The 25252-nt window shown below is 54.7% G+C and overlaps 1 protein-coding gene and 1 long non-coding RNA gene across 18 annotated transcripts in view, besides 8 other annotated features; one reads left to right on the top strand and one right to left on the bottom strand.

Annotated features, from left to right (window-relative positions):
• Positions 1–21503, bottom strand: part of WDR5 (WD repeat domain 5) — a 24770-nt gene extending 3267 nt beyond the window's left edge. The window contains exons 1-14 of one of the 14 annotated variants that reach the window (NM_001384413.1): positions 20860–21325; positions 20112–20154; positions 16744–16882; positions 15891–15999; positions 15119–15192; positions 14664–14753; positions 14280–14369; positions 13983–14066; positions 8359–8414; positions 4673–4719; positions 2161–2236; positions 1329–1362; positions 935–1009; positions 109–196 (exon numbers count right to left, since the gene is read on the bottom strand). In NM_001384413.1, the coding sequence (NP_001371342.1) occupies positions 109–196; positions 935–1009; positions 1329–1362; positions 2161–2236; positions 4673–4719; positions 8359–8414; positions 13983–14066; positions 14280–14369; positions 14664–14753; positions 15119–15192; positions 15891–15999; positions 16744–16824 (904 nt within the window). In that variant the 5' untranslated portion in view covers positions 16825–16882; positions 20112–20154; positions 20860–21325. The other 13 variants (NM_001384415.1, NM_001384414.1, NM_001384410.1 and 10 more) reach the window with 13 other exon arrangements.
• Positions 3796–4315: an enhancer, noted in NCBI's record as "H3K4me1 hESC enhancer chr9:137017509-137018028 (GRCh37/hg19 assembly coordinates)". NCBI's record gives its function as "activates a minimal SCP1, AML or CMV promoter by ChIP-STARR-seq in naive H9 embryonic stem cells {active_cell/tissue: H9 hESC(naive)}" and the evidence as "EXISTENCE:reporter gene assay evidence [ECO:0000049][PMID:30033119]".
• Positions 4316–4836: an enhancer, noted in NCBI's record as "H3K4me1 hESC enhancer chr9:137016988-137017508 (GRCh37/hg19 assembly coordinates)". NCBI's record gives its function as "activates a minimal SCP1, AML or CMV promoter by ChIP-STARR-seq in naive H9 embryonic stem cells {active_cell/tissue: H9 hESC(naive)}" and the evidence as "EXISTENCE:reporter gene assay evidence [ECO:0000049][PMID:30033119]".
• Positions 19639–20563: an enhancer, noted in NCBI's record as "NANOG-H3K27ac-H3K4me1 hESC enhancer chr9:137001261-137002185 (GRCh37/hg19 assembly coordinates)". NCBI's record gives its function as "activates a minimal SCP1, AML or CMV promoter by ChIP-STARR-seq in primed H9 embryonic stem cells {active_cell/tissue: H9 hESC(primed)}" and the evidence as "EXISTENCE:reporter gene assay evidence [ECO:0000049][PMID:30033119]".
• Positions 19639–20669: a biological region, named in NCBI's record as "NANOG-H3K27ac-H3K4me1 hESC enhancer GRCh37_chr9:137001261-137002185".
• Positions 20490–20669: a silencer, noted in NCBI's record as "silent region_20477". NCBI's record gives its function as "represses an Ori minimal core promoter by ATAC-STARR-seq in GM12878 lymphoblastoid cells {active_cell/tissue: GM12878}" and the evidence as "EXISTENCE:reporter gene assay evidence [ECO:0000049][PMID:35858748]".
• Positions 20720–25252, top strand: WDR5-DT (WDR5 divergent transcript). Of its 4 annotated transcripts, none has more exons than NR_186420.1 (2): positions 20720–21516; positions 24229–25252. It is a non-coding gene; the product is annotated as a WDR5 divergent transcript (long non-coding RNA). The 4 variants fall into 4 exon arrangements; NR_186422.1 differs by lacking the exon at positions 24229–25252 and adding an exon at positions 22366–22820; NR_186421.1 differs by lacking the exon at positions 24229–25252 and adding an exon at positions 22332–22820.
• Positions 21110–21279: a silencer, noted in NCBI's record as "silent region_20476". NCBI's record gives its function as "represses an Ori minimal core promoter by ATAC-STARR-seq in GM12878 lymphoblastoid cells {active_cell/tissue: GM12878}" and the evidence as "EXISTENCE:reporter gene assay evidence [ECO:0000049][PMID:35858748]".
• Positions 21470–21579: an enhancer, noted in NCBI's record as "active region_29270". NCBI's record gives its function as "activates an Ori minimal core promoter by ATAC-STARR-seq in GM12878 lymphoblastoid cells {active_cell/tissue: GM12878}" and the evidence as "EXISTENCE:reporter gene assay evidence [ECO:0000049][PMID:35858748]".
• Positions 23820–24389: an enhancer, noted in NCBI's record as "H3K27ac-H3K4me1 hESC enhancer chr9:136997435-136998004 (GRCh37/hg19 assembly coordinates)". NCBI's record gives its function as "activates a minimal SCP1, AML or CMV promoter by ChIP-STARR-seq in naive H9 embryonic stem cells {active_cell/tissue: H9 hESC(naive)}" and the evidence as "EXISTENCE:reporter gene assay evidence [ECO:0000049][PMID:30033119]".

The following is a 25252-nucleotide window of genomic DNA, read 5'->3' as shown; positions in this document are numbered from 1 at the left end:
GGTGGGAAGGGGAAGACGACGGCACCCTACGGGCACACCACGCTTCACCTGCAGGAACTGTCCTCACATCAACAGGCAGCCAGTGACTGCAGGAGCGCAGGCCCTCACCTGTGTGGCCTTGTAGTTTCTGTACAATCTCTTTCGTCTGAAGGTTCCAGATGTAAACAAGGTTATCCTCTGAGCCAGACACAATCCACTACGTAACAACAAGCAGGGAAAACAGGGCAAGGAAAAGCAGGTCAGAGCTCATGCATGTGAAAGGGAGAGAATCTCCAGTTATGCCCTGCCCCACGCCCACCCTGCTGGTGGCTGCCTCGCTGAACTCAACCAAAAAGCCCTGCCTGCCCTCCAGCCAGGCCTGAGGCTTCCTCTCCCAATGGGGACAGCCCCGCCTGCTCTATCCCAGCACCGGCCTCGCTCACAGAAGCCAGGCACCTGCCTGCCCCAGGAGAGGCTTCCAGGATGGAAGATGCTTCTCAGGTCACCCTTTTCTGAGTCTGTGTGTCACACACATGTTGCCCGAGTCACCCCGGTCTAAGACAGGAGCATCGAGACCAGTGTGGGTGGGCGGGAAAACACACTCCCCTCCCTGCTGGGGCCGGTGGACGACAGCCCCGGAGCCAGCGCACCCACCCAGGGACACCCTGAGCACACAGAGCTCCACCTGTTGGGTCCCAGCGCCCTCGGAAGGTGTCAACCAAGCACTGCCAGCAAAGCCCGACAACAGGCTGCCTGCCTCCGTTAAGGAGATGGACCTAGAAACAAACGGGACAAGGTGTCCCCGGTACTTGGCGCAGTGCGCTTTGGTTGAAATGGAAATTCATTTTGTGGGCACAGAAAAGTGTCTCTGAGTATAAAGCAACCTGTAACAGGTGTGACCTCTCGGGAGAGTAAGCTGGGAACAGGTGAGACGCTTCAAGGTTATGAGACTCACCTTCCCACCAGTAACAGAGAAATTGGCAAATATGCAGTATTTCTCATTCTTGTGGCCAGTGTACGTCTTCAGGCACTGAAACAGGAGGGGACAGGCTGGTCACAGAGTCATGGTTCCCCTTGATTTTGTGTAATTCTACGTTCTAAGCAAGGCGTTTCACTACTCACTTCACTTATTTCTGAAAAGTACAAGTACCAAACCCACACAATCGAAGATTTAACTTGCAGACTGCCACCCTACAAATACCCAGGTCTTTCAGGAATTCGCACCAAACCCAGCGGAGATGGCTCTCTGAGCTCCTCTCCTTTGTCATCACCGGGGCCAGCTCTGTCCCCACCAGAGGCCATGACCCAGGGATGGTGCACCATGGGGGCCCAAGCCTGCGGGGGCTCACCTTCCCCTTGCTGTAGTCCCAGAGCTTCAGAGTGCTGCAAGACAGAGAGAGGGGTGAGGCGGCATGTCTGGAGGCATCCTTCTGTCCCCACACCCAACTCTGCAGCCACTACGTCACAGCCACCATCAGCGCCAGGTGCAAAAGCCAGCGGGGCTGGAACCCCCTTCCCCATCAGGGTAAGGAGCCCCTCAGGCTCAAAGTCCAGTGACTTGGCGTCTGAGAGCACAGTGTGACAGCCGCAAGTATTTGTAGTTCCAAGAGAGACTTTAACAGGAAGCTGATGGGTGTTATCGTCCCTGACTCGGGTCATCCTCAAAAGGGTGAGGAAGTCCTCTTGGTTCTGGAAACATCCAGAACAGGTTTTACCACCCAACCACACAGCCCTCAGAGGATCAGGGCCCAGGCTCGGACCCACAGGGCTGAGGGTGCACGCATGGGAAAGCTGGAGCTTAGAGAACAGCCCAGGAGGGCAGTGGCTTTGTGAGAGGTAAAATCAAGATGCTCAGAGGTCAGAACCAGAAAGGGCCTTGGAGGCCCCCGGACCGCCGACTCCTTCATGCGGGATGGCTAGGCCTGCCCTGGCCACAGTTGCTCAACCAGAAAACGGACCCTAAATCCTCCTATAGTCGGACCTGAGGTTCAGCCTCGGGAAGGGATGGACGGGGGCCTGCCCTCCGACCTAACAGGCCACTGCCCAGAAGCCGAAGCTCCACCAGGAGCCTGGATCCCGTGCCAAGCCCACAACACGCTCTCCAAAGGCTCACGCTGGCACGCAGGTGTCTCTGGCTGGGGAGGCCACATGCCCGCCCCCACAGTCCCACGCAGTACTCACTTGTCCAGCGTGGCGGCCAGGATGTATTTGCCGTTCGGGGAGAACTTCACAAAAGACACGGGGGGGTTGTCGTCATCTGCAATAAAAACGGACAGGTGACACACGGCGGGCGCTGACAGCCAGGCAGGGACAGGAGGTGGGACCCGCTCCCCATCCCCCACGTGCGACATCTGAGTGAGGTCGGCCACCACCATCAGTGCCAGCACCACCACCCCTCGCCGCCCCGAAGGGTGGCCTAGCCACGCACACCAGCCGTGAGCAGGTTCTTGACACCTCAAGCCCATAGGCCCGGGGGCCCCTTGACACCAGGACTTTACGAATACAGGCCTCCTGGGGCACCAGGCCATGGGCACTCTCAGGAATCACCTGCCTCACAGGGGATGGATAAGGCTGGCGAATGCCCAACTCAACAGAGGGACAACTCCACCAGCAGCAAAGAGGGCTGGGGAATCACCTCGGAAATTCTCCTTTAAGAATTTATCGACGCAAGGGGCATCTGCACCCACAGAACCCATCTGTTTGTTGTCACATCCACAGCTAATGCCCCAGGCCTATCAGCTGGACTCTGCAGCCCTGAGGGCAGAGCAGAGCCGCTGCTTCTCACACAGCTGAAAAAGAGTCAAGGTTCCCAGAAGCTGTCGATGTACAGGTCAGAGTTTTCAGGACATGGCAACCCCACGACCCTCAGAAGTGGAGGAAGGCATCTCCTCTCACCTGAGTGAGGAGGAGGGAATCTCAAGGAAGGTGTGTCCTGGTGCAGGCCCCACCCCTGGGCCCCACCAGAGACCCCCACCGACCCCCAAGCACGTGCACGCGCTGGTGTGTCCCGAGCACCGGGAAGGACACGGCCCTCAGCATTACCACCACGGGGACGCCTGGCCTCGCCAGGCACCTGGCGTCTCCGCTCCCTCAGCCCGGTCACATACACTGAAAAGGCACGGGAGACGCTGTGAGGCCATGCGGTCCCTCCCTCAGGGGCACACCACGTCACACCGCCAGGCAGGCCGAGGTCACAGTGAGGGCCGGGGGGCCGGGCTCCCTTAACACAGCTGATGGCAAGCGTGTCCGCATGCCTAACCCAGGCTGCCTGGGCAGAGCCTCACAGAGATGAACGCATCAGCCAACCTGTCTCAGTGAAGTCCAGAAGGGTCTAACTCGCTAGACCTGAGGAGACGCCGATGGGAAAACTGCTATGCAGCGACCCCTCCGTCCCCACCCTGGGCTCAGGGGCGCCCAGGCTGGAATCCCAGTCCCTGCACCTGCTTGCTGTGGAGCTTTGGGCTAGTGAATGAGCCTCTATGCAGGATGAGGACAACCCCCCTCCTCAGAGGTGGCCGTGAGGGTTACGTGTGCTCACACAACAGCGGCGCACACAACTGAGCACAGGTGGCCCGTCCAGGGGACACCAAGTGCGGTGTGATCTCAATCAGGAGAGATGCATGGCAAAAGGCTGGCCCCACAAGGCAGGAAGCTATAAAGACCGCTGTGGCAAGGGGACTCATGCTGAAGCCCAAGCCTCCAGAGCCTCAGAGGCGAGTGTACTGGAGACAGGGCCTTCAAAGAGGGCGACAGAGTGAAAATGAGGCCCAAGGGTGGTGTCCTTACAAGAGGACATTTGGACACACGGAGGCACCAGGGACACTGGTGTGAAGCCAGGGTAAGGCAGCGTCTATAAGCCAAGAAGAGGCCTCCTCAATCCTGACCACAGCCTCCTGGACTGCGGGGAGACACATTCCTGCCACAGATAGCCTCCCAGCCTGTGGGGCTTGGTCTCAGCTAGGCCAGCAGGCTATGACAGACTAGAGGGAAGAAGGGCGCAAACGGGGTGCCTCCCCACACGGGGGTCCATCCCCCCATCCTCACCACCCAGCTCCCTCCTCAAGGTGCGCCCCATCCCACACATCTAGCCTAGGCTTCTTAAACACGAACACTCCCCGGATGAAAACCCTTCCGCTCCTTTCTGCAGGCTCTGCAAGGGGCAGCTGGGAACCCCGGGCCGTCACAGACCCTCAGGCCACACCCTGCCCAGCACCTGGCCTTCCCATCCAGGCCACGCCACGTCCCTCCTTCCTCTCCTCAGGCCTGTCCTCCGTGCCCCCAGGACACCTCCATCCACCTCGGCAGCACCCCCAGCAGATGGGCAGGCACTCAGCCGGTCACTCAAGGAATGATCCAAGAGGCTGGCACGACAGCAGGGGCCCGAAGCCAGGAGGCAATGGGGCTGCCCAGAGGACTCCAGTGAGCAGCCGGAGTGAGGCCGACAGCACAGGTGGAGGAGCCCCAGGCTGGCCCAAGAGAAAGGCCATGGCAGGAAAACTGCACCAGAAGGAGCAACAGAGCCAGCGGGCGGTCAGGGGGAGCTGGCGGAACGGTCGGACACGGAGGAAGGTTCCTCCTGCAGGGGCGGACCCAGGGCAGAGGAGGGAGGAGGAGCTGGTGAAGAACAGGGGCAGTGAACCCAGCAGGGGAGGCCCTCCCCACAGACCCAGCCCCCACACAGAGCCACACTCACCGATGAGCGTCTTCAGGCACTGGCCTGAGGCGGTGTCCCAGATGCGACTTCGAAGCAAAGAGAACAAAAAAGCGTAAGCAGACAAGTTATGATCTCACGCGGGCTGCTGGGAGTCAGATATAAATTTTAGGACTAGCACGCTTTTCCCTATCTTTTTTTAAAAGTTATGCTTCACCTGTTTAACAGTCATTCTCTTATATTCTAGGGACAAAGACTAAACACTGTCCATACAAACATCAACAGTCCACACATGCTACACACGTGCAGACCATGTGTGGGGTACCTCTGGATCTCTCCTACACAAGCCACAGTTGACCCCCAACACAGAGCGGGAAGCCTGTTGCTCTCTCCACTCTCCCTGGCCAAGGAGAGGGGCAGCAGCAGCCCAGTGCTTCTCGCAGGCTCTGCCCACGCTCATGCAAACACATGCAAGCAATGAGAGGGCTTCTTTCAAAACAAAAATTTAAGAGTATTGTAAGCAGTCTTCTGGACTATTCCCAGAAGGTACAAGCCAGGCATTTACATTGTTCCAATTTCAGGGTTTCTGTGATTTCTGCCAATACAGACGCATTCTGGAAGCAGAGCCCACTGTGTTAGCACCCACAATTCTACTGCACAGATGCCAGCAGCGGGGAACAGGCTCGGGTCACACGTGGACAAATCATTCCCCAAGCACGAGACCCCATGGCCGCCATGCACGGTCCCTCCCATCTCTCACCCATGGAGAAGCCGCCTCTGGGAGGGCCCCGAAGCTCTCTGCTCTGCACACCCACCTCCTGTTCTGCCCACACTTCAATAATCCAGGGACGAGACCACACTGGACCTCAGACACTTCACCCAGGGTTTTCAAACCCAGAAGCAGCAACTCTCCTCCCAACTCTGCATCTTCTCAATTCTCTCAGCAACAGCTCCATCCTGCTGCCCCATGGATCTCAAATTCATGTCCTCTAGCTCCGCAATCACTGCGGGAGGGCCTCTCCGGAGCCGCCTCATCTCCTAACCCTCAAGACCTAACCCCCGTGTGTCCTTTCAGTTCCATTTCTCATTTCCTGCATTGGTCCTGCTCCTTCTCACTAGCCGCATTCCTAAACATCTTAGCATTTTTGTCACTGTTAAAATGGAAACATTTTCCCCATCTTCTAACTGGCAATTCCTAGTATACAGAAAAAAGTCCATTTTCAAGCACTGATGGCACTAAACGCGAGATCACACCACGTAGCTAGCAGGGCAGGGGGTTCCAGGCCCAGACTCCAGAGCTGACACGGGTTCTGGTCCTGCACTGAGCAACTGAGAGACCGTGGTAACTGTCCCTGCCTGAAAAGCAAGGCTGACAGTACCCACGTCACAGGGTTAAATGGGTATTTGAAAAGCAGTGTTGGTGGCTTTTAAATATTTTAAAACATGCAAACATATCTACAAAGATGTGTATCTCTATTCAATTTTCATAGGACTATTTTTTCATTTTCTTACACTAACTAGAAACTCCCAACAATGCTGAGTAACATGGGAACCAAGCACACCTGTCCCACTTCTGATTTTCATAGAAAGAGTTTCAGCATGTCGCCACATGTGAAAATTATTAGTTACCAGTAAGTGGTCAACAATACTGCTCTATCTTGCTGAAGGGTTGGCTGCTGGATATTATCAATCAGGCGCCTTTTTGACCCCTACTAATTAATAACAGACAGAGACATTTAACGCCTTTAATCTGTTGGTAGAATTAGATAATAGGTTTCCTGATGTTTACGTTATAATCCTTTCATTATCCAATAATGAATGAATTCCTTGGCTATGGGAATTCCTTTCTGTGCACGGTAGGCTCAGGAGGCTGCTACTTCCTCTGGAATCCTGGCATCAACATTCACCAGTGAGTTGCCCTCTGTGGTCTTCCTCTGGGACCAGCAATCAAGGCTTAGGTAGCAAGCTCATGCTAAAACCAAAGACATGAACCAGGGAGCTCCCTCCCGCCTGTGGTCTCGAATCGTTGGGATAAGCTTCAAAGTTCACTATTGAACTGGATTCAGATACAAAGTCACAGGGGACATGTTCTTTTCAGGCCTTCAATCCCCTTTTCCAGCCTCTTCAGCGGTGACTGCTCCTTAAGGCACCATACCCAGGGCCCCTTTAGGAGCTGTGGCCGAGCTCGCTGCTGGAGCCGAGGCACTGCTCAGGCTGGACGGAGGCTTCTGACTCCCGCTTCCTCCCGCTGCGGTGCTTCCAACCACCTCCTAGTTCTCATCTTGCTTATTTTGCTTTTTCCATTATGGGACTTAAAAGGCTTTCATTACTAGCCTCATCAAAGAAGACATCTTATATCATCTATGTTCTCATTTGTTTCCCATTTCCCTCCTAATTTCCTTGGTATACTTTTTCTGATTTCTTTAGAAAGTTCTTAGAGCCAGGTCCATGAGTAATTCTGAGACTGTCCCGTGCTCACTTCCCTGTTGGTGACACACACACAGAGGGGCCGGGAGGGTGGCACCAGAGAGGCCCTGGCAGCTCCACGCTCGCCCATAGCTCACCCTGTGCACCCCTCCCCTCTGGCTGTTCCTGAAGTGTATCCTTTATAATAAGCTGGTAAATGGTCAAGTGTAAACGATGGCTTTAACCGTGGAGACTACTGGCCAATGTGGGGCTCCGGATGACCTCATTTTTGCCACAGCACATCCCAGTGACCTCAGCCCCAAACGCCATCACAGTGCTGCAACCGCAGCTTGAACCTTGCGAGGCGATGGCCCGGAAGTGTGTGCTGTGAAGCCCATGGGAGGCCGGTGGTTGGGTGCAACTCGACTACGACCCTCTCCCACCAGACCCGTCTTCTCAAGACCGATGGGGGGTCATGCATGGCGACTACAGACTGTGACCCCCTGGGGATCCCCACGCCAACAGTCACTGGGGAGTCAGACTGGGAAACAGATTTCGAGTGTGCGTGTCCACCTGAGGGTTCCCTGCAGGAAGTCCTAGTAAGATCTTCAATTCTGCCAGTGGCTGCCACCGTCCTCCTCCTCCCCAGTGACCAATCTGAACAGCTTATGATGTGTCCGCCCCACATCCAAAACACAACCCAAACACTCCACTCCCCCAACTCGCTCCCATCAGACATTTCGCTGAGTTAACCTCTACTTCTCCACTTCCCTTGTGTCTCCTGAGGAGTGCTGGACACAGATTACCAAGTCCAAGCACTACAAACACCTGCTGAGACCTAGGTGGGCTTTCTGCAGGAGACCCTGTCACTCTTCCTCCTGCCCTTCTCTATGCTGCCATCTGCTTGGGTTCACCTGCCCGGGATGGTGACGCATCCTCACAGGGCAAGACGGCATCACTCAGCATCCTCCCAGAGCAGCACAGCTTTCACCTCAAGGGGTCCAAACACCCATTTTCCACGAGCGTGTGAACAGCACACGTCAGCGTCTACACGGAGCTGAAGTCTGATGGAGGAGGCCCTCCCTGACCCACCCTAACAACAAGGACATCTTCCCAGGCATGCCGCCCCACCACCTGTGCTGCCAACCCCGAAACTGCACTGCCTATCTGCTAACATGTCTGCAGCGTGGCCAGAAGAGAAGCTTCGGAAATTAAGGACTTGGGTCTTTTGTCACTGCTGTACCCCCAGATGCAGGAACAGTGCAAGAGCTGGCCCTTAGTTAAGCACTCATCGCTTCATGAAGTAAAATGTTTTCACTTACCAGAGACCATCATAGCTACTTGAAACTATCAAGGATCCATCACGATTAAAATGAACCTAGGAATTAAGGAGAGGAAGAAGAGACAAAAACTTACTTTCAAGTCAGGGACACAACTGCTTCTTACCTGATCTCAAAAAAAAAAAAAAAAAAAAAAAAAGACTGAGTTATGTTTTTTTGTTTGTTTGTTTTCAGAAAGAGTCTCGCTCTGTCACCCAGGCTGGGGTGCGATCTCAGCTCACTGCAACCTCCACCTCCCAGGTTCAAGCAATTCTCGTGCCTCAGCCTCCCAAGTAACTGGGATTACAGGCATGCACCACCACGCCCAGCTAATTTTTATATATATATATTTTTAGGAGAGACGGGGTTTCACCATATTGGCCAGCCTGGTCTTGAACTCCTGACCGCAAGTGATCCACCCGCCTTGGCTTCCCAAACTGCGGGATTACAGGTGTGAGGCACCGCGCCCACCCTTTTTTTTTTCTTCATAAGAGAAACAGGGTCTCCCTATCTTGCCCAGGCTGGTCTCGAACTCCTGAGCTCACACGATCCTCCCACCTTGGTCTTCCGAAGTGCTGGGAGTACAGGCATGAGCCACTGCACCCAGCCAAGGATAAGCCTTCTCACAATCAAACAGCACCTTTGGAAACTATCTTGTCTCAGGCTATGGGTGCTGAAACATTTCCTGGGTGAAATCAAGCCACACAAGGAAGCCGTGGTTTAATGATTCGGGGATGGGACTGAGGTTGTCTGCTTCTACTGTCTAGTAGAAGCAGTTTCCCAGCCTTGGCACCACTGACATTTTAGACCAGACTCTTCCGGGGGGGACAGGGTGGTACTGCCCCTGTGCAGTGGCAACCTTGTCCTTTGCTCACTAGATGCCTATAGCTCTGACAACCAAAAATGTCTCCAGACATTGCCATGTGTCCCCAGAGGCAAATCCACATGCATCAAAGGCACCGGTGAGCTACTATGGCAGAGACTGCTAGGCCCCATCCCCAGGGCTTCTGATTTGACCAGTCCAGGAGGGGGAGTCCAAGAACATAAATTTCGAACAGGTCCCCGGGGCATGCTGCCTGCTGCTGCACGCCCAGAGAAGCACTAGGCTAGACTCTGCAAGAGCCTGCCAGCCACACGTGTAATTTTAATTGTTCTAGAAGCTACATTAGAAAAGCTTAAAAGACAAGTGAAATTACTTTGGTAACATGTAACCCAATGTATCTAAAATATTATTTCAACATAATCAACACAAAAAGTTATTACAAGACACTTTACTTTCTTTTTTTGTGCCAGGTCTCTGAAATCTGCAGGTACCTCACACAGCCCTGAGCTCTGGGCCATCATGCGGCTGGCAGCCTCTATGCTGGGCATGCTGGGTACTGCAGCCCTAGATGTTCTCCAGCAGACACAGAGGGGTGAGTACCTGTTTCTGCTCCAACAGGGTGCTCTCACCGTGCCAGCTGCTTCACTGCAACCATCTGGCCGGCAGCCTCTCAAAGTACTTTTCTAACTCACAGTGATCCATCTAACCACATTCATCCCTACCTTTAAATGTGCAAAACAGTCTCTTATTGAGACTATTACGATGGATGTAACAGTAACAAGACAAAACAAGTCCCCAAAACTCACAAGGCCAACTCCATGCTTTGCTTTGTTCAGCTTCTTAACCACATCCAAATACTACCCACTGGCAAACATGGCCTGGCTCTACCATTCCACCCACATTCAGGTGCAAGGGGCAATACAGCCCATCCACTGCACTCCAGCAGAAGGCTGCCAGAAAAGTTAACTTCGAGGAGGTAGATAAGGGAGGCCGGGCGCGGTGGCTTACGCCTGTAATCCCAGCATTTTAGGAAATCAAGGTGGGCGGATCACTTGAGGCCAGGAATTCGAGACCAGCCTGGCCAACATGGTGAAACCTTGTCTCTACAAAAAAATACAAAACTTAACCAGGCGTGGTGGCATGAACCTGTAGTCCCAGCTACTTGGGGGGCTGAGGCAGGAGAATCACTTTAACCCAGGAGGCGGAGGTTGCAGTGAGCCAAGATCGCGTCACTGTATTCCAGCTTGGGCAACAGAGTGAGACCCTGTCTCAAAAAAAAAAAAAGACCCAGCACTTCAGGAGGCCGAGGTGGGCGGATTATGAGGTCAGGAGATCGAGACCATCCCGGCTAACACGGTGAAACCCCATCTCTACTAAAAATATAAAAAAAAATTAGCCGGGCATGGTGGAGGGCGCCTGTAGTCCCAGCTACTCAGGAGGCTGAGGCAGGAGAATGGCGTGAACCCGGGAGGTGGAGCTTGCAGTGAGCTGAGATCACACCACTGCACTCCAGCCTGGGCAACAAAGTGAGACTCTGTCTCAAAATAAATAAATAAATAAATATTAAAAAACAAAAAAAAAAAAAAGAAAGAAAGAAACAGAGAAGGTAATCAGCCAGAACCCAGCAGGGGATGGCAAGGCCCCTAGCCAAGGAGCACTCCAAGTGCTCTGCGGAGTCGACTTGGGCAGACAAGCAGTAGCAGAAGCTCCAGGGCAGGAAAAACACAGGTCCCGGGTGCAAGGAGGGCGCGAGGGCTGTGGATGATGGGGGTCGGCAGCGGCCCTCAGCCGAGGAGCCCTAGCCAGAGAGGGCAAACCCTGGCCAGAGAGGGGACAGGGATGGGAGGCAGTGAGCAGGGGGCCACATGCCTCTAAGTCTCTAAAGCTCCAAAATGTACCTGTCAAAAAGCTAAACACATATCCTGACTACTGCATTTCCCCTCCAAAGCCATCCCGCACAAACGGCCACAGATGCAAACAGGATGCTCACTGCACTCCTTTTTGTCAAAGTGAGAATTACACATAAGCACTCACTGAGAGGCGACTGGCAGAGTCCTTGCTCACACAGCAGGCCCACACCAGCAATCCAAGGGCATAGATGTGCGCAGACATCAAAGGTGCCCCAGGCCAGGCGCAGCGGCTCACGCCTGTAATCCCAGCACTTTGGGAGGACCAGGCGGGCGGATCACTTGAGGTTAGGAGATTGAGACCAGCCTGGCCAACATGGTGAAACCCTGTCTCTACTAAAAATACAAAAATTAGCCAGTCGTGGTAGTGGGCACCTGTAATCCCAGGTACTTGGGAGGCTGAGGCAGGAGAACCCCTTGAACCCAGGAGGCAGAGCTTGCAGTGGGCCAAGATCGCACCACCGCACTCCAGCCTGGGCAACAGAGTGAGATTCTGTTTCAAAAAAAAAAAAAAAAAAAACAAAGCCCCACAAACCTCTCTGCAGTGGAGACAGCTACAGAGCAGCAGCTGTGGAGTGGAGACAGCTACGGAGCAGCAGCTGTGATGTGGTACCAGTTATTTAAAGGACAGGAGTGAGCTACCCTGGAAAATATGCACCTAAAAAAGCAAAGTAGAAGACCACAGAGGGACCGACTCCACCTCCTGGCAGCTGACCCCAGGGGTGGCTCAGGGAATTCATTTTCTACTTCCTACATTTGCTCACCTTTGTGGTTTTTTTAAGACATGGGGTCTCACTCTGTCACCCAGGCTGGAGTGCAGTGGTACCATCTTGCTCACTGCAGCCTCAAACTCCTGGGCCCAAGCAATCCTCCCACCGTCCTCCAAGTAGCTGGGACCACACGTGCGCATCACTACGCCCGGCTAATTTTTGCTTTTTGTATAGAGACAGGATCTCACTATGTTGTCCAGGATGGTCTCAAACTCCTAGTCTCATGGGATCCTCCTGCCTCAGCCACCCAAAGTGCTGGAATTACAGGTGGGAGACATGGCACCCAACCTGTTTTTGTGTTTTTTTATGAGCAAACGTGACTTTCGTAAGAAAAAAAGACTTTTAAAATCCTACCTATCAACCGCGAGTCCCACCTGCGCTATCTTTGGCCTCTAGGATGCTCACAGAATTCTTTCTTCCAACTCAAAGGCCACCAGCGAACCCCTTTCTCAGGTTACTTCACAAGCGTTCATTTGTCAGCCCCAGTCTGAAGGTCAGCTCTGCTGACTATGACCCAAGGTGTCCTGGAGGGCAGCGGACTGGCACCAAGGGGCTGGGCCCGCAAGCACACAGCCACAAGCACAGGGCCACATGGTGCCATCCCCACAGCAAACGGCCTCCCCGCAGCAGTGACACTGGGCCCGCGAGGGTCTTGTGGCCCAGCTATGTGCGGGGCTCAGACCCCGCAGCCCCGCCCAGGCCTGACACACTGTCCGTCCGGGCAGTATCAGGGCTTCGCCTGCCATCTCACTCGGGCAAAGCCTTCCAAGGGTAAAAATGCTTAAACCCATTCACCGCCAAGATGGCACAAAGTGAAAGGCACACGGGCAGGCAGCATGGGACAAATGCTGCATCCACCCTTCCTTCCGCTTCTCAACGAAGGGCAGGATTGGCCAAGAAACTACCTCATGCACTTTGTTAACAAAAGAACTTTCTGGCCACTTTGTGAAATGGAGCGGTTTATGATACTGTGTAGTTTAACTCTTGGCCATTTGTTCTTGATTTTTTTTTTTTTTTTAAAGACAGAGTTTTGGCCGGGCGCAGTGACTCACACTTGTAATCCCAGCATTTTGGGAGGCCAAGGCGGGAGGATCACGAGCTCAGGAGATCGAAACCACGGTGAAACCCCGTCTCTACTAAAAATACAAAAAATTAGCCAGGCATGGTGGTGGGCGCCTGTAGTCTCAACTACTCGGAGAGGCTGAGGCAGGAGAATGGCATGAACCCGGGAGGCGGAGCTTGCAGTGAGCCGAGATCGCAACACTGCACTCCAGCCTGGGCAACAGAGCGAGACTCAGTCTCAAAAAAAAAAAAAGACAGAGTTTCGCTCTCGTCACCCAGGCAGTGGTGCGATCTCGGCTCACTGCAACCTCCGCTTCCCAGGTTCAAGTGATTCTCTGGCCTCAGCCTCCCCAGGAGCTGGGATTCCAGGCACGCGCCACCACGTCCAGCTGATTTTTGTATTTTTAGTAGAGACGGGGTTTCACCATGTTGGCCAGGCTGGTCTCAAACTTCTGACCTCAAGTGATCCACCCGCCTCGGCCTCCCAAAGTGCTGGGATTGCAGGCGTGAGCCGCCACGCCCGGCCTCTCGGCCGTTTGGTTTGCACAGTGGCAACAGCAAAATGGCAGGACGTGTCCCTGTGCAAGGCCCGCTCTCCGGAGAGCTCCAGCCTCCAACACTTCCCACCAGGACTGGGCCATCCCCACCCAGCCCGCCCATCAAAGCTAACTCCACTCAAAACTCACACTTCACCTGTGCTCCCACCACTCCCAGTGCCCTTCCCAGCCTGGCCGCCCTTCCTGTCCCGTGCATCAGTTCAGGGTACACTACCTCCTGAACGCCTGTGGCCACTGCCCCCAAGTCTGCACAAACGGCCCCTTGGTGCTCATCACAGGGCACCCCACTGACACCTCACCACCCCCTCGCCATCCCTCCACTGCACACAGGACTCATTTCTCAAGTCCCAGCCTCCAACCTGATTGCTCTAGACTGTGGCATGACAGCAGGAATCAGCTAGGCACAGGCCATGGCCAGGCTTACGCCCCTCAGGGAGACAGCTGGCCACATCCGATGTCAGAGAAACGTAGTGCTGGACACCACCCCATCCGTGTCAGAGGGACTTACGGCCGAGACTGGATCCGAGTGAGCTGGCAAAGTCTTGAGGCACTTCCCTGTTTTCACATCCCATATCCTCACGCTTTCGTCAAACTGAACACAAAAGAGATGACAGTGATTTTACAGGAAGGAGAGGGGACAAACCTCCCCAGAACCTAAGACCTGCTATCAGCCCATCCTCCCCACAAACAGCACAGAAAGGACTCAGGGCCCACCTGCCTTCTCCACAGTGGCTACAAGCAAATTCAACAGCCTTCCCACATCCGACACCACCTCCCCCAGGGAAGACACCCCAGCCACACTTACGGATCCTGAGACAATAAGGTTGGACTGGGGATTGAAGTTGCAGCAAAAGACATAATTACTGTGTCCCTTCAGGGTTTTCAGACACTTGCCCTATAACAGAGTATTATTAGGATTATTCCAGTGCTTATTTCCCCAAACGTAAGAGTCAGGTCACATTCATCAATGTCTGACATCCCAAAGCATGCCTGATGCCCCGCCAGTGACTTGCTGTTCCCCGAAGTCAACTCGGCCTCCCCCACCCACCCCCGCCCCATGCCCCTGCAGCCAGTCTTCCCTGGAGAGGAGCGCTGAGTGTTGCTTACTGAGCAGTCAACTCAGTCCCCCGCACCTGCCCCGTGCCCTGCAGCCGGTCTCCCCTGGAGAGAAGCACTGAGTGTCACTTACCGAGCTCACGTCCCATATCTTCAAGGTTTTGTCATCTGAGGCAGAAACAAGAAGGTTAGAATCTGACGACCAGGCTACATCGGATATTCCCTTGGGGAGAAAAAACAGGGTCAGTAACTTGACAGGACAAAATAGGACCATCGGCAAAAGGTCAAAATCCCAAACATCCCCATTGCCCTCAGGAAATCTTCTCACTAGTGTTAACCTTACAAAAGACACACGGCCCAGGAGAAAAACAGCAGGCTTTCTGCAGCTCTGCCAGCCTCACAGACACTCCTCCATGGAAGTCAAATGTTATTTGGGTTAAAAGTTCAAGATGCAAATAACTATAAAAAAATTAAAAAACGGGGAAAACTTAAAACCTGAACCCACAGCTCTCGAAGCAGCCCTGACCCCTTGATCACTAGAGCCACCCTGTTCAACAGTCAACTTCACCGCACAGGGCTGAAACCTACCAGCTTGTGACCAGATATGGTTTTCTCAAATTTCCCATCATACGCGCCCCAAATTTTAATAAGTTTATCAGCAGCTGAAAGAAAACAAAAGGATCTGAGGCTAAGAGCAGGACACAATTGTCTAGTCATCCAGAGTCCAAAGTCTGAGCTTTTCCCACATGAGTCCCAGGTGATCAGCATGAACCACATGGCTCAGAACCCATTCAGCACGGCCACATGCCTGAGAGGACCAGTCCCCTTCCCCTCCCTCCCAGGGTCCACGGGCAATTTCTTTTCTTTCTTCTTCTTTTGTTTTTCTGAGACGGTGTCTGGCTCTGTCGCCCAGGCTGGAGTGCAGTGGCATGATCTCAGCTCACTGCAACTTCTGCCTCCCAGGTTCAAGCGATTCTCCTGCCTCAACCTCCTGAGTAGCTGGGACTACAGGCATGTGCCACCATGCCCGGCTAATCTTTTTTTGTATTTTTAATAGAGACAGGGTTTCACCATATTGGCCAGGCTGCTCTCGAACTCCTGACCTCGTGATCCGCCTGCCTCTGCCTCCCAAAGTGCTGAGATTACAGGCATGAGCCACCACGCCTGGCCCCCCACGGGCAATTTCAACCAGCACTGAGCTCACAGTTCCAGGAGGAGACACACCCGCCTGCTACGTGCCCCCCAGCGGCCTGCTACGTCTCCCCAGCGGTAGGTGAGGAAGCAAGCCATCCCCTCGCCAGCTTTTTGTCTGCAGCTCAGACCGCCTCTCCCAGCAGCTAAGGGCCTCAGTGCTACGTACATGAACTTGCCAGCCACTCTCCATTCGGGCTGAATTTCACGGAGGACACTGCTTTGGTGTGGCCAGCAAGGGTGAACTTTAGAGCATAGTTTGGCTTCACAGGTGTAGGCTGCAGGAAAGACCAGTTAGCAAAAAGTCACCACCACTGTACGTTCCACCCGTGACCAGTTTGGATTTTGACTCCCACCATTTAATTTCAGCTCAGATCTTTAGAGCTCCAAATCCACATGCCCAGTGCCTTCCACCAATCTCTATGTGGACAGTACCTTTCAAGTGGAACACATCTGAATCTGAGCCCACTACTTCCCCACAAGACCTCCTCTTCTGTAGTCTCCAAACTCAGCACCAACAGCACCAGCCGAGCCAGAAACGTGAGGCCCCCCTCAATCCACCTCATCCCCCCACCTCAATCCCACCTGTGATCCTGCTACAGCACAGGAGGCCCCCACCAGCTCTGGCCTTGGTCCAGCGCCCCACCCTCCGACCCCGAACACTGAAGCCCTGCTCCCTTTGCTAAAGGTCTACGGGAGGGCTTGCAGAACTGCCTGTGCGTCAGGATCGCAGCCAGGGTGGGGGCAACTATAAAGAGATGTTTTCTGGTTCCTACAGAGACTCTTACAATCAGAACCAAGAATCTGTATTTTTGATAAAAGGCTCTCTCCTCCAGGTGACAGATTTGGGATCCCTGACACAGCAGGCAACAAGCATTCGCCAGATATGCGGTCAGTAAATAAAAATTAGCAGTGACATTTAACTGAGTAGGGAAGACTAGGCTTATGAGCTTGAGATGTTTCCGAGACTCTCTAAGCGTATTTGCCCCCGGAAGGTGTCCAAGGGGCCCCTGGGCACGCACCTTGCTCTGAGTGGCGGATGACGAAGGGGTTGGCTGTGCTCTGGCGGCCTCGGTCTCGGGCTTCTTCTCCTCCGTCGCCATGGCTCTGACGCTGGCCGCACAGGAGACAAGGGTGGAGGGACCCGGTGACAGAGGCAGTCTGTTGAGCGAGATGCAGAACAGGGAGCCAAGAAACAAACTATATTTTAAAAAATTGATTTCCAAGAAAAAGGATGAAAAGAAAAACATTTGACTACCATATTGAGCCCTGTAGCAAACAAACCATTCCAAATTGAGGACCCTATTAATTCCCCTAAGTCCTTGCTAATACTTTCCAGCTGCTCCGCTGACACCCCTGCGCTCTCCCCTTTTGTCATCATAATGAAAGACCCCACCCTCAAGCGTGCTTCTTATTTTGTTATCCAGAAGTCTGTAAGAATGCAGCAGTTTGTGCAAACAAAATGCAGTTTTCTTCAAAGAGCCCTGGACACATTAAAAAAAGAACAGCAAAAGGTTTCCTGACAGAAAGCTAACACGCCAAATGACAGAAGACTGAGCTTCAGGGTGTAGAAATTTGGGATCACATCCAAATCCTAAAATGCACCCCAAGTGACGCAATCACGTTCACAGCCACGTTTGAAAACACAAGCACGGGCACCCAGTGGTCTACGCCTCATGGGGGGGCTCCAGTGCCTCCATGCACAGGCTGCTGGCCCGAGGCTGCCTTCCAGCATGCTAACAGCTCACAGGGCTCGCGCACTCAGTGAGGAGCCACAAAACACAGAGATGAGAGCAAGCCAGAGGCAGCTCTGCCTGCTGGAATTTCCACATCCTGCCTTCTGGAAAAGCAGCCTCAAGTACACCAACGATATTCTACGAGCAGGACTCACACTGCAGGGGAACGAAAAAAGACTGCAGTTCAATCGGTTTCACCTTGACAATGAAAATTATCCCAAATCTGTACAGTAAGCAGCTAGTTTCCTCTACCATGGGAATAGATTCATTACTTCAATACATCTCATAAAAGCACAACAGGTTACTTGGAAAGGAGGGACAGCATTTTTAAAAGGGAAAGCCACTGAGACATGCTTGCAAATACCACTGGCCATCGGAATCCCAGAAGCTAGCACTACCATCAATCTAATGAGTTTACACACTGTAAATTCTAGCTTGGAGCTTGGAACTGAAATCTTGCACAGGCTGATTGTAACACTAACGCGAAATGGAAGGCATTAAAAAGCATGTCTCAAAGTCTTCATCCAAGAGGAAGGCAGAGAAATTACAACACCCACTTTGCAGAGAACAGGTGTGGCCACCGCTCCATTTCACCTGCAGCAAAGATTCCCTGCGCAAAGATGGATCACGCTGCATCTAGGGCCGAGTACAGTACAAGAGAGGGGGAGAGGAGGGGCAGGCCCTGTAGCGCTGCCCAGGGGACAAAGTGCCAGTACAAAACCGGTCCTCGGTAAATGCCAGCTACGTGGTACTTGTCATTAGTGCAACCTAGCCATGCCAATTTAACCCAACTGCTGCATTTTCCTTGGCAGGCTGGACAAATACAGGGAGAGAGAGGAACTAAGGAAATCCAAGCAAAAAGCTGCAAAGTCCACTATAACAGTCCTAGCGTTAGACAGCCAGGCCAGGGCCAGAGCTGAGTGAACTGTGCCCATGCCCTACCCAAGCGAAACACCAGAGGAACAGAAGGCGAAATAGGCAGCTCAGAAGGCCGAGCAGCTCCTGTCAGCATCAACTCACCTGGGTGAGTCTAGACGCCTGGAAACACCCTCAGAGGAGGAACAACAGATAGGCGGTCTTACAAAAAAGGTGTCCAGCCCCTCCCAGCTCAAGCCCAACCTGCCCCAACCTTTGGGCTCAAAAAACATGAACATGTAAAAGAAACAAACAAAACAACCTTAACTTGACTTTTAAGAATATGATGGCTGGGCACAGTGGCTGACGCCTGTAATCTCAGCACTTTGGGAGGCTGAGGTGGGCAGATCACGAGGTCAGGAAGTTCAAGACCAGCCTGACCAGCATGGAGAAACCCCCTCCCTACTAAAAATACAGAAATTAGCCGGGTGTGGTGGTCGGTCCCTGTAATCCCAGCTACTCGGGAGGCTGAGGCAGGAGAATCACTTGAAACCAGAAGGCAGAACCAAGATTGCGCCACTGCACTCCAGCCTGGGCCAAACAGTGAAACTCCGTCGGGGGGTGGCGGGGAATGCAATTTCTTGACCCAACACACCCACCAAGTTTCTACGTCGGTGGGGTCTAGGCTTGGCGTGTTTTTTTTTTGTTTTTGTTTTTTTTTTGAGACACAGTCCAAAGAGTCCAGGTGCACGATCTGGGCTCACTACAACCTCCACCTTCCGGGTTCAAGTAATTCTTGCGCCTCAGCCTCCAGTTTAGCCGGGATTACAGGCGCGTACCACTACGCCCGGCCAATCTTTTGTATTTTTAGTAGAGACGGAGTTTCGCCATGTTGCCCAGGCTAGTCTCGAACTCCTGACCTCAGGCAATCCGCCCGCCTCAGCCTCCCAAAGTGCTAGGATTACAGGCGTGAGCCACCGCGCCGGGCCAAGGCTTGGCATTTTCATGAACACTCAGGTGTCTCTGTGGAACAATCCTTTTGAGAGAACAGGAAGGTTGGAGACTTGATCTTGAGGAAAGCGGGGGCCAAGGTTACGGGAACGGTGATGAATTGGCGGCCCCTAGACCAGATGCTGCCTGGCTCCTCCTAGCAGCCACTGCTTTTCATCCAGGTAAGCCTGACCACCTGAAGCCGAGCAACCAAACCTCAGTGTGCCCTCCTGGACTGCATGCCACAGGCCGATTCCTGAGTCCCTCAGTCCCTGAGGTGGAGCCCAGGAATCTGCCTGTGACATGCAGTCAGAAAAGCATACTGTGTGCAAAGACAGGAATTAATCTGCATCTTAAACACCAGCCGGGTGGCCGGCCCAACAGAGGTGGGGACCTGGCTCTCCCTATCTGAGATCCTGGACAGGCTCCCCGCCTGGGTCCTTCGCTTTCCTGTCTTCCCCACCGGCTAGGACAGCACCTGCCCAGGTCACAGATTAAACTAGCATTTGAGGAGATGGGTAAACGGACCGGGGTGAGTGGAAACTTGCAAGCGAGACAGCAGGGAGTGTCGTTAGCGATGTAACAGGCCGACCTCTGTTTGGTCCGGGAACGTAACCGCTCAAAATGGCTCTCGCAGACCGGCCAGGACAGGTCTGCGGCCCCGCGCGAGGAGGCACGGTGGGCCTACCGTTCAGGACCGAGGACCCGCACCCCAGGACCCCACCTAGCGAGCTGCAGCCTGGCTGCCTCGGGTTGGGGTGAGCGGCGGGAGCGGGCTGGGGGCGTTTCTACGAGGAGGGGAAGCGCACCTCGTCCAGGGACTGAGTGGCTTGGTGGGTCTGGGGTCCTTCCCTGAAGGGGCAGTGGAGGGAGAGGGGCGATGTGAGGCCGGGCACGCTGCCTGCGGGAAAGAGGACCCAGTGCCGGCGCTCTGGCCTTGTCAGCGGTCCGCCGGGGAGGCGGAGGTGGGGGCGCGAGTGGGGGCGGACCGGGTGGAGGGAACTGCGCGCGCGGCCGTCCACCGAGGGGCCGGGGCGGGGGTCCCGGGCGGGGCCGCTGCAGCGGGAGCAGCGCCCGGGGCTGGGCCTGGCCCGAGGCCCGGCGGGGAACACGTGCGGCGGCCGGGTGCGGTTTGGAAGCTTCTGGCGCCGCCCCGCTGCCCGCCTTGTGTTCCCCGGGCCGGGCGGCTGCCCGCTTACCTGCCGGGCCGCGGCGGCGGGGCCGGGCGCTCGGGGCGTCGCGTCGGCCGCCGCCTGGGCGGGAGCGCGGACTCAGCTCGACAAGGCGGCAGCTCGGGCGGGCGCCAGGCGGCGGGGGCGCAGTGCGCGTGCGCGAGGGGAGGGGGCGGTGTCCGGGGGGCGGGGCGAGCTCACAAAGCCGGCCTCTCGGAGGAGCGCTACGGGCAGCGACAGCGGCCAGAATGCCTCGGGCCGGCCCAACGCTTTAAAGGGACAGCACGGGGCGCGCGCTTCCCGCTTAAAAGCTTTAATCCCCGAATTTGACTGGTGCAGGCCCTTCTAATGCACTTCCTAAAAACTGAAGTATAATAATACATACAGGAAAGTGCTAGTGTGCCCTCGCGTTTCCACAGACAGCACGCCCTGTACACAGACACCAGCGGCCCTCCGGGACCTGCGCAGGTGGCGTCGCCCGGCGTTGTCTCCGGAGTCGATTCGGGCCGGGGCACCTCCCCGGGCGACCAGGCCCCTTCTTGATCATCGCTGGTACGGATGAGAGCGGCAGTGGGCATTTGGAAAGCACCTGGGGCCGCGCCCGGGCGCAGTGCCCCCATGTGGCCTCCCACCCCGGGCGGGCAGGACGATTCCTGCCCATCTGGAAGACCAGGAACCTGCGCGTTCACAGGGTTCGGAAGCCCGGGCTGCGCCTTCCCGCGGGGCCGGCTGCCGGGCTGGGGGCTCTTCCCGCCTCTGCATGCACAGAGCCCGCGGTGCACGAACCTGCTCCCCGCCAGCCCCGCGGACTGGCAGGGCCGCTCTGGAGTCACCCGCGCCCGCTCCGCAGTGCGCAAACTCACTTCGCAGCGGGCTCTCCCGGGGCCAGCCCTTCCCTCCTGGGCGGGCATTTTCACCTCCAGGTACAAGGGGGTGGTCCCCAGAGGAGGACTCAGGGGCTTAAGGAGAAGCTGAGGCCCGGTCCTCTGGCCTCAACGACTGCACATTCTCGCCGCCTGCTTCACTTCTTAGAGCCTTGGAGGTAGGCATGGCCTCCCTATCCCCTCAGCTAGGCCTGTGGGTAGAATAACATACAGTCCCTTATTCTCCAATTAAAAATGGGAACACAGAATATGACACAGGAACCCATGCAAACAAAGGGATAGAGCATTTGAAATAAAAATGCCAAGGAGGGTGAGGTGAGCGGTTGTCAGAGAGGTGGAACCGGAAGACTGGCAGTTGGTCTGGAGTCCCCTTCCCAGGAAGGACACAGAGAAGGCAAGGTCCCTGTCTGGTCCTTCAGGGCTCCATATGGATTTGTGTGCCCAAGAGGCCGGATCCCTTGGGCCAGGTGCCCTGGAGCATGGAGTGGTGACAGTCACAGGTTAGCAAACCCAGTTCGGATGAAGAAGCGCATCTTTATCTCCGTCCACCTGGCCGCCTGGGCCGGAATCCCGAGCCCGTGACACGCTGCTCTCCTTCCACCCCACCTCAGCTCTCAGATCGTCCACTTCTCTCCCTCCCCACCCCAGCCCTACCTCCCACCTGGGTCTTTTCTAAACCTCCAAACAGAGAAACTCCTAAAAATCCAGCTCTGATCTGTCACTCCCCAGTTTAAAACTCAGAACCAGCTTCCCACTGCCCTCAATTCCCTAATTCCCACTGCTCAATTCGGCTAAAGTGCTTACCAGACCCCGCCTCCTCTTCCAACCTAGCACCGGCTCCCAAACTGCAGTCCTGGTTCCAGCCCCAAAACAAAAATATTTCCAGCCCTTCAGCCCTCCAGGCAAAGCAAGATAAGGGGCGAGACCCCAGAACCCTCAGAACTCAAACCAAGTTCCCAGCTTCCACTTCCAGGTGAATTGGTCTCACCACCTCACCCCACCCCCAGGAGATAGAACCTTCTAGTAAAAATGAGAAAATCCGGCCGGGCGCGGCGGCTCACGCCTGTAATCCCAGCACTTTGGGAGGCTGAGGCGAGTGGATCACCTGAGGTCGGGATCACCTGAGGCTGAGGCTGAGGCAAGGAGAATCGCTGGAACCCAGGAAAGAGGTTGCAGTGAGCCGAGATCGCACCATTGCACTCCAGCCTGGGCAACAAGAGCAAAACTCCGTCTCAAAAAAATAAAAAAGATGTTCAGAGAAACAGTTCCATTTACTAAGTCACTGCTGGTGGCCAAAGCCTAGTTAATGTTCTGAAAATCTCCATCGTGTTTGTTCCTCTTCTGTGATTCTTATTTTCTCTTCTATTTTCACCTGCCATATTTTTTCCTGAGGCTGACAACTGTTTGGTAGGATATAAGAGGATTTAAAACTTAGTAAAGCAAATTACTTGCCTTTGTTAAATTCTCTTCCTTGCTGGCGTTATATGGTTTCAGAATTTTAGCTATGACTGCAGGCAGGGGTGGATTGCAAAAATTGCTGAATGGGGTTAGAGGATTTTCTCTTTTTTTTTTTTTTTTTTTTTTTTGAGACGGAGTTTGCTCTTGTTGCCCAGGCTGGAGTGCAATGGGGTGATCACCACAACCTTGGCCTCCCGAGTTCAAGCAAGTCTCCTGCCTCAGCCTCCCGAGTAGCTGGGATTACAGGCATGCGCCACCACGCCCAGCTAATTTTGTATTTTCAGTAGAGATGGGGTTTCACCATGTTGGTCAGGCTGGTCTCAAACTCCTAACCTCAGGTGATCCACCCGCCTTGGCCTCCAAAGTGCTGGGATTACAGGCGTGAGCCATCACGCCCAGCCTTCTCTAAACAATTTTTATAAATACAACATTTTGGCCAGGCACAGTGGCTCACGCCTGTAATCCCAGCACTTTGAGAAGCCAAGGTGGGCAGATCACAAGAACAAGAGATCAAAACCATCCTGGTCAACATAGCGAAACCCCATCTCTACTGAAAATACCAATTAGCCAGGCATGGTGATGGGTGCCTGTAGTCCCAGCTACTCGGGAGGCTGAGGCAGGAGAATCACTTGAACCCAGGAGGTGGAGGTTGCAGTGAGCTGAGATTGCACCACTGCACTCCAGCCTGGCAACAGAGCGAGACTCTGTCTCATAAATAAATAAATAAACAAACAAACAAACATTTCTAGAAGGTTTCTCCCCACCTGCACTCAAGGATCTCTGATCAGCCCAACAGTCCAGGCCTGCTGGCCACCCTCCCCGCTGGCCCAGGTCCCTCCACCAGTCTCTCCTCCCCAGGGCACCCCCAACCAGCCAGTGTCCACTTGGGCCTCCCTAAACGTGGCAAGTCTTCCGGCCCCCAGCTCCTCCACAGTGAAAACATCTTCCATTGTAATTCCTGGGTCAGTGTCCCCTGGGTCTGGCTGAGTTGAGTCTGACCCTCATCACAGCACTCTGGGCACTTGGCCCAGGAGGTTGGGGGTGACATGTAGCACTGAGGAGCACTTGTGCACCCAACACTGTATTCAGTTTGTCACATTTAGTACCTCCTTGCACCCTCCCAACAAGCCTGTGACGTGATGCCTTTATTATCTCCTTTTTACAATGAGGAAACCAAGGCTCAGAGAGGTTGAGAAGCTGCCCAAGGACCCACAGCTAGTGGGCATAACCAGGGAAGTGAGCCCTGACTCTAGGCAGGACAGCGCTTCCAGGGGTGGCCTCTTCAGAGACGGCACCTCTGGGATCAGGAGCAGGCAGCACGGCTCTGAGGTTGCAGCAGGGCTGAATGCAGAACACCAGCCTGTTTTAGGAACCGTGTCGTCACCTAGTAACTAGTATTTCCTCGGGGACAGTGGACTGCCGAACCCTGAGAGGGAGGGCCACTGGCAGCGATGGACGAATGGCCCGTGGCAGGAGTGCTGGTGTCCTCGAAGCAGGCAGCCCGGAAGCACTGGCCCCTTCATGGCCAGCCCAGAGCTTTGGGGGGCAGCGGATTCCGATGGCAGTTGATTCGGGAAGGTGGAGGAAGCCGAGGGACGGGGCAATGCCCAGGACCCAGGGTTTCCCGGAGCTGCTGACCAGATTTCCAGGCTTGTGGGCCACCTCAACCTGGCCACTGTGCAGGGAGCTGTTGCTGCTGCCTGGAGATCCTATGGCTCCCTGCCAGCCCAGGTCAGTGGGATTTTATGTTAAATTCCTTTTCCCCTGGTAACTATGCCAGGACAGCCAGTTGGGGGATTCATGTCACCATCCCCCATCCCCAGGATCTCCACAGGGGCCCATCAGGGCCCTGTGGGCCTTCACCTGACAGCTTTATGCTGATTGGCCACGCTCAACCCAGGTATCCAGAAAGCCACTTCCAGTCCTCACTATACCACTGTCCTTCTCTTCTTCCCCCGGCCTTAGCTCCCTGGTACAGAAAGAGCAGGGTAGACAGAGGAGCCCATCTTGTTGACACGGACTGTGTGGTTTCTTCCTTGTGTCAAATTCTCTCCTTCCACTCCGTTCTCCTTCCCACCAGCCTCGTTCTCCATTCATCACGTCCGCTCCCCTGGCCATCCTCTAAGGTGGCCCCTCTAGATTGCCCCTGTCTGCAGTGACAACACTCCACTTTGACTGGCACAGCCCCAGTTCCAGAACCGGAGTCCCTGCCCCTGGCAGCCCCTCAATCCCAAAGAAATCCGGATGGTTGATCGCCTGGGTTGTCCCTTCCTTAAGGCCCCTCCATCCTTGCCAGCATCCTGACCCTCACCAGGGGCCGCTCCCTTGTCCACCTCCCTCGCTACTGTGGGCTCATGAGAGAGGGACACCCTGTCCACCTCGGTGCCTGCCAGGAGGGACACACAGCAGGTGCTCAATAAAGACCCTCACAATGAA

Source organism: Homo sapiens, chromosome 9 (assembly GCF_000001405.40).
Source record: "Homo sapiens chromosome 9, GRCh38.p14 Primary Assembly".
Classification (NCBI taxonomy): domain Eukaryota; kingdom Metazoa; phylum Chordata; class Mammalia; order Primates; family Hominidae; genus Homo; species Homo sapiens.
This window is presented reverse-complemented; position numbering and strand designations above follow the sequence as displayed.